An 8571-nucleotide genomic window follows, 5' to 3' on the forward strand; every position below is an offset into this window, starting at 1 on the left:
ATAATTACACATGTAAAAAAAATTGAAATTTTGAGTTTCATCTAAAATTGTATTTATCTTCAAAAATAAGAAATCCCAAATATCATAAAGGACACATGTATGCATTAAACGTTCAAACTATATGTATATTCTTTATCTGAATTAAACTTTAAACAGGTTTCTGTATTTTTCCTTTGCTAAATCTGATGACCGTTTAAGATAAAAATGAATAACACTAAAAGTTTGTTACTTGAAAAGTCCATAAAATTGATAAAACTTATTTTTAATTGATCAAGAAAAAAGGAGGCAAGGGACAAATCATTTTATTAGCAATTATAGAAAAGGCACCACTTAAGATTTTTTAGACACTATAATGATAGAAAGGTAACATTATAAACAACTTAATGCCAATTACATAAAATACAGGAATAACATAGAAATTGTAAGTTGCTGAAACTGACAAAAGAAAATATAGGCAATCTGACACAAAATAATATTTACTGTATGATTTCATTCATATAAAGTTCTAGAAAATACAAACAAAATTACATAGTGATAAAGCATATTCATATGGCTAAGGGTTTGGAAATTGACTGCAAATGCGCATGAGCAAATTTTTTCTGGAAGATCAAAATATTTCTCATTGTGATCATGGTGCAATTTTCATGAGACATCTTTGAAAACTCACCAAATGGGTCAAGTTTACTACATATAAGTTATGCTTTAATAATTTTATTAGAAATTTAATGAATAAAAAATGATTGTGGATTGGCTTGAGTGTTTATTCAGAGCTTTAGGCAGTTTAATCATTTGTTAAAAACAACTAAGTAACGAACTATTTAATTCTACAAATTTACATATGAAAAAGCAGATTGAAATAAATTAAAATTCAAGAGAAAAAAGAAGGAATTATTAAAGAAAATATTAAATAATGTGGTTGATAATGCAATTTGCACAATTTGATTGTCCAACTGTAAACAGAACACAGAAAATACGGTAATACAAAAATCTAAGAAAATTATCTGAGGAATTATCACCAGAAAATGAAAATGTCTATAACACTGTAAAATGTAGAACTCCCAATTTTTGAGCATTATATGATTCATAAAGGAAGGAAACTTCTCGATTCATCTGATGAATTTATGTCAATTCCCAAATCTGATGAAACACAAGAGACAACCAAATATCTTTGTATTCAAATAAATAGTGCATGAATTGCCATTTTCTTGGAAATTCACATTTGTGACCCGGTATCTCACAATTTAATGTAATAATTTTAAATATATATGTTTAATTTAATATCCATTGAAACTGATGTACCCTTATATATCTAAATATTTAAAACATTATAATTTAAATCAAATCAATCTTATAGATGTAATGCTGCTAAATAATTTCCATTCCATAAAATTTAGCAACCTATAAAATAATCATATACCATAATTATTTTTTCTAAAATCTATTCCATCACATTGAAAACTAAAAGAAGAAATCTTGTGATCATCCCAATGTATGATATAAATAAATTACCTAATCAATTTAAAATATATATTCTTGGAAAAGTAGAATTATAAAAACAAATTACTAAGAAGATAAAATAAATATGAAATAAAATGCCTACATTATATTTAATAATACAATTAAGATAATTTTACTAGACAGAAACACAGAATGAGAGATGAAGTATCAATAATACTATGTAGATTTGTTATACATGCCTTTTGCAACATGTAAAAATATAATAAATAAAATATCTCCAATTGCAATAGCATAGACACACATTTTTGATTAATATAAATAAGTGCCATGGAAACCAATAAAACCATCAAAATACATTTTAAGAGTTTATTATGATTACCAAATACAAATTCTATCAGTAGTTGCTCTTACATATAATATCAATTTCTCATTAGAATTGCAATAAAAATTGTCCAAAATTCACTAAAACATAAAATATAAAATGTCTAGGTTTAAAATTTGCATAAAATGTGGTTTCTTATAAAAGAAATTATGAAATATTATAATATTAAAGAACTAAAAATATAGACCTGATAATTATATACACAATGTTCCTAGATCAGAACACTCAATAATGTAAAGTTAATATTCTAGTAATTAACTATGTTTTATTAACATTTAATTTCCCTGCCAAAAAGCTATGTTGACATACTAACTTCAATTCTCTTAGATAAGGTTGTACTAGAGTAGGGTAAGACCTTGCTCTAATATGACTGGGTAGCCTTAAAAAAAGATGGCCATATGAGACAGACATGCAGAGGGAATACTCTGTGACTAGGAAGCAGAGATTGGAGTTATGCAGCTACAAATCAAGAATGCAAAGATTGGCAGCAAACCATCAGAAGTTAGGAAGAAGCAAAGAAGTATTTCTCTAAAGGTTTGAGAGGAGTATGGACCTGCAGACATCTTCATTTCAGACTTCTAGCGTCCAGAACTGTGAGACAATATATTTCTATTAGCTTTAGCATTCCGGCTTGTGATACTTTGTTGTGGCCACCCTAGAAAACTAATACAGTATTTGTGGCTGTGTTATATATAATGGCAAAATATTTGAAACTACTTACATATCAAAGAATAAGAAATATTGTAAATATTTATCTTTATGTATATCATAGAAACTTGACTTTAAAATTTTAGTATCAAGAATATGTAATAAATTTCAATTACTTGTAAGTGAAACAATTGCATGACAACAATTCTAATATTTTTTCAACATATTCAGTTTTACATTTGTAGGGATTTGTTTGTTTCAACTACATTAGTAATAAATTATCAAGCTTTTTTTCTCTGACCCCTGATTTCAGCTTTGCCATTTTTCCTCTGTCACTTAAGGTATCTATAATTGTTTTCATATTTTTTGTGATATCAAAACTCAAAGCTTTCCATTTCTATCATGATTGTCCAAACTTGTGGCTTTAGGGACTTGGAGTTTGGAGAGCAAAATAATCCATTCCTTTTCTCCTTGTCTGTCCCTATGTTTAAAAGTAAATTTTCTCAGTAGCAAATTGAAAACAGTAACTGGAAAAAGGGTAGCCCTCTCCCACATCACTCTTCTGGGTGGCAATTTCTCTGTTAATGGCTGCTTAGCCAGGCACTGCTGTTTTAGGGGGTATAAGTGTGAGTACTTAACAGAGTCCTCGGTGGCCTTGGTGCTGCCTGGTTCCATGAAGTGAAAATTCCATCACTTTGAACCTCTGACTCAAATTATTCATTAACTGCTAAGGTTTACTGAAAATGTCGGTAGCCTCTTTGATAGAGTAACTGTAGAACTTCTCAGGTCTTGTATATGGATATGTGTATACATGTATATGTATATAGATGTGTGTATATATGTGTATGTATATATGTATATTGTATGTATATGCATAAGCATATATGTATATAAATAAGCTTTATTTATTTTAATTTTTGCTGCTCAGATAGCCAGGGGACTATTTTATTCATTCACTGTCATTCTTTCAAGACTGAAAATGATCCCTTTTCACCTTGTAGACATTCTCAAGCTTACTGAGATTTCTGTGGAGCATTTCTCTTTAGTTGGTTATGTTGTGTGGGTTGGAAGGAGCATGCTGTATATACCATTCCCTTCTCTATGGCATATAGAGGGAACAATTTCATACCACAGCTACTAATCTTCTTCCAGGTAGAAAATTCTGATGTTTCTGTGACCTGCTTCCTAAGTTAAAAGTGGGGTCAAGAGGTGGTAATTCATCCTCTTCTGGCAATCCAAGTGCTCTTACAACTTACATAATACATGTACATACCTGTACATCCTTATGTGACTATAGTAAACAACACTTAATATGCATAAGGTCATGGAGTCATAAGTCTTTGAACAACTGAGTAGTGCATTGTGGTTGTATTAGTCCATTTTCATACTCCTATGAAGAAATGCCTGAGATTGGGTAATTTATAAAGAAAGAGAGGTTTAATGTAGTCACAGTTTCACGTTTCTGGGGAGGCCTCACAATCACGGTGGAAGGTGAGGAAGGAGCAAATGCATGTCTTACATGGCAGAAAGCAAGAGAGTGTGTGCAGGGGAACTGCTTTAATAAAACCATTAGATCTCAAGACATATTCACTATCACAAGAACAGAACAAGAAAAACCCACCTCCATAATTCAATTACCTCCCACCATGTCCCTCCCAAGACACATGAGGATTATGGGAGCTACAGTTAAAGATGAGATTTGGGTGGGGACACAGCCAAACCATATCAGCGGTGTTATTGTTTTGCTTATATTTTTTAATATTTCCTTTCACACTCTGAATTTTGAAAATTCCATATAAGTTTTATGCAATATGTTTAGAATCAGAAAAATATCTATTATTAAATATATAAATTCTTAACATATTATTCTCCAATATAATAGTTATTTTATTTTTAAAATTTCATACAAATACATATAATATTTTGGTGTCTTATGCCCACTAGTTTCACCAAAAGACATATAGATTCAGTGGTTTAATGCACAAGGTATAATTTACTTTGCAGATAAAAATTAAGGTATACAAAGGAAAGTTTATAATTCAGTGATAGATTAAAGCTTAGTGAAATGTTTTGTATCCACATCATATTAAACTATTTTCTACTCCATGACTGAAAAGTAAAAATGTGTTTTGTAAACAAACATAGTAATTTCAGTTGCTTAAGGTATCAAAGATTTTCAGAAACTGTATAATATACTTAAATTCAAATTAAAAAAAAAAAGAGAATGCTAGAAGATTAGCCACAGTGGCAGAATATGATATTATCCCAAGATCTAATTTCAGATTATGCATCAACATTGTATCAAATTCTATATTACTTGTTCTCTTACTATGAATAATTAAACATACAGCACTGATGAAAACAGTATCCAACCATTATAATGTCACAACTCACGGCACGGATTATTCAGATTTACTATTCAAGACATTGACATTGACTTTCCTTCTTCTTTATTTATTTATTTATGTATGTATGTATTTATTTATTTATTTATTTATTTTGAGCCAGGGTCTTGCCTTGCTCTGTCACCCAGGCGGGAGTGCAGTGGTGTGGTCTTGATTCACGGCAACCTCCGCCTCCTGGATTCAAGCAATTCTCCTGCCTCAGCCTCATGAGTAGCTGGGATTACAGGCGCACATCACCACGTCCAGGTAATTTTTTTGTATTTTTAGTAGAGACTGGGTTTCACCATGTTGGCCGGGCTGGTCTCGAACTCCTGACCTCAGGTGATCTGCCCACCTCGACCTCCCAAAGTGCTGGGATTACAGGCATGGGCCACCATGCCCGACCCTTTTTTAGTAATTTTTTTTCCCCTACCAATTTCTTCTGCTGCGTTATTTCCCTCAGCTGAATTTCAAAGTATTCCCTTCCTTTCTCGTGTTTTTAAAATGTCACCTACACTTATAATAAGTAGAATGTGAGCAATAATGTTAGTTGAATTCTGAGAACCAATGAAAAGATGGACATAAATCTGAAAATCCAGTAGAATATATCATGTTTAATAGTCAATAGTTTTCTTTTTGTCTTAACAACATAGGCTTTATGTCAAACTTAAATACATTGTGGGCTTCGTGAAAATAATTTCAACTTTGTTCCACTGGTAACCTCAATATTTAAAAATGTTTAAATAAAAGAATCCCTTCTTTATATGCATATGTATAAAGTTCTCACTTGTTTGTAATTATGATTGTTATTTCTTTTGGAAGAAATAATATCTGTAAAATGTATAAGGAAATAAATAGTGAATATTAATAAATAAAACATACAGATATCGGATCATAAGAATATATTAAGGGAACTAGCATCATAAAATATGAAAAAAATTGCCAAGTTCGTCTTTAATACAAAATTGTAAATGTCATTGATTTCTTCTTTTTCAAAAGTGGATAATGGTATCCAAGTATATAATTCTATTACTAGGGAAAATACATTGAGAAAAATATTGAGAAGCTTATTTTTCATAAAGCTAATTTAAGAAGGATAAGCCTGATTATCATAAACAAATAAGAGGAGGTAAATTTCTCCACATAATCATATAAAATGAAACATGAATTCCTGGAGCATCTATGAAGAAAGGAAATGAAGCGCCCACAAATGTTTGGAAGGGAAAAAAGGGGGAATTTAGGCAGAAGTCAAGATATTTAAAAGTAGAAGGAAATACCGACGTCATCTTTGTTACAGACTCAAACATTAAATGACTATAAGTAAGTAGCAAAGTATACAGGCAGTAAAACAGAAGAATAATAATACTGAAATTTCAATGCATGCATTCCGAGAAAAAATTTAATATATGTAAAAAAGAAAACAGAATAAAAACTATAAATATTTATGCATATATGTATATAGACACATGCACACACACACACACACATATCTTTCAATCTCTTAGTACAGTACAATGTTCCAGAAACATTCGTTTGATAATAGCCTGTTTCGCTCGGAAAATGTTAATTTGGCTGTTATTCAGATTGCCCTTCTCAAGGACAATTGGTTCGTGTATATTTAATTTGAAAGAGTACCATTGAGATTCACGACTAAAGCTTCTCTTTCTGAAATACCATTAAAGTATTTTCAATATTTCTAATCAATATTAGCCAAGAGAGAACTGGACACCATCCATCATTTAGCAAATGCAGCAGGACAATTTGGATTGCTGCTTAAGTACCCGTTGTCCAGATTACACAGACAACAATGTTACTACACTGAGAAATAACGCTTCCAAAATTACAGTTCAGAATTGGTTATATTTCAAGATTACTTCTTCAATATTAAATTGAGAGAAGTTATGTTAAAAGTCAGTTTTATTCAGAGTCATTTGCTCCTTTGTCATTTTCCATAATATGCTAAACATAACGTCATATTGGCCTTACCCAGTGTCTAACAAGGCACTCTCCCAGATGCGTATTTGAATAGCCTTTCCTGCTTGCAGTTTGAGTATTAAGTGTTACTTGTTATGGTTTAGAAAGCTTTTCTCACTCGCAAATACCCTTTCCTTTCCTCAGTGGATAATATGTTATTATTTTCCTTCAATCAGATATTAAATGTTAGTGTGAAGCCAAAAAATTGAGTGATTAACTTTCATCATAAATTAAGGTAACTTTTAACATTAAATTGTACATATCAACTGAAAAACAGATCCAATAAATTCTAATAACAACGCTGTCCCCACAAGTCTGCCTTAGATAATTTGTTCTCAGAAGTGGCTCTGGAAATTATATTTGTTTGCCTAAGCTTTTCTAGCTCTATTGTAAATTGTCTTTTCTATTTTATTATTTATATTGGAAATACTTTTGATTTAGTTCATAATCTTCCTGCAGAAGATACAATGTATATTTGTGCTTCTTCATACATTATACATGACAATAAGCAAAATTTACAGCAGTGTAAGCAAAAGAATAGTTAGCTTTACTGCAAAGTACAAAATTCAGCCAATTCAGCAAAAGCTTTGAAAGTCTAGTGGAAATATTTTCACAGTCTGCATATGTGTTAAAACAAGCCCTTCAAATATGTATGTGTATGTGTGTGTATATATATATTTATATGTGTATATATACATTTGTATATATGTGTATATATATACATTTTTTTCTTCAGAGAAAACTGAATCTTTTAATAAATTGAAAGTGGCAAGTACAAACACAAGGTGCCCTCTGTTTACAGTAACCATATTTAGTATGGTAGCTCCAAGTCTAAGTTCTTCCATGGGATTTGTTTAAAAGAAGACAATACTAATTTTAAATTTCCACATAAGGGTTGAAGCTATTTCAGTTGGGTATATAGCTTTCATACAGAGAAGGTGTTGAAAAACAGGAGTCTGACCAAGACGTTCTGTAGTTCCCCTCAGCTCAACTAAACTTTAGATAGCTTTTTCCCTGACTATAGACCTCTGACCTCTTGGCTTAGTCCATTTGAGCTGCTGTAACAAAATATATTAAACTGGGTAACTTATAAACAACAAACATTGCACACAGCTCTGGAACCAGAAAGTCCAAAATCAAAGTATTGGCAGACTCATTGTTTGGCGAGGGCTTGCTCGCTGCTTCAAAGATGGTGCCTTCTTGCTGTGTCCTCACATGGCAGAAAGAGAGGAAGAAACTACGATGCTTTCCTCAAATGTTTTTATATGGTTGACCCTATTCATGAGGGTGTAACCCTCACAAATTAATCATTTCCCAAAAGTCTCCACCTCTAAATACTATCACATTGGTTATTAGGTTTTAATATGTGAATTTGGCAGGGACACATACATTTAGATCACAGCACCTCCCTTCTCATAGATTACTTCAGAAAGTTGCAATTATATCATTGTCTCTCCTCTTTTGAGAAGTAAATCTTCTCTCAGCTTCTTTCCAGTTGTGTAAACCGACGGATGTCTTTCTCAAGGACCTGGGACTCATCACTTTGAAATGTTATCATAAAGAAATAGTAGCATTCCAACTTGTCAATCTTGATTGAAGTGTCAGAACCTAACTTAGATAAGCACCAGCTAGCAAACATAGATGGACTAAGCACAATAACGAACCTTCCTTTCCCCTAACATGCCCTAATACTTTCCCACTAATCCACCAGCATTTAAAATTCCT

Source organism: Homo sapiens, chromosome 13 (genome assembly GCF_000001405.40).
Source record: "Homo sapiens chromosome 13, GRCh38.p14 Primary Assembly".
NCBI classification, from domain to species: Eukaryota; Metazoa; Chordata; class Mammalia; order Primates; family Hominidae; genus Homo; species Homo sapiens.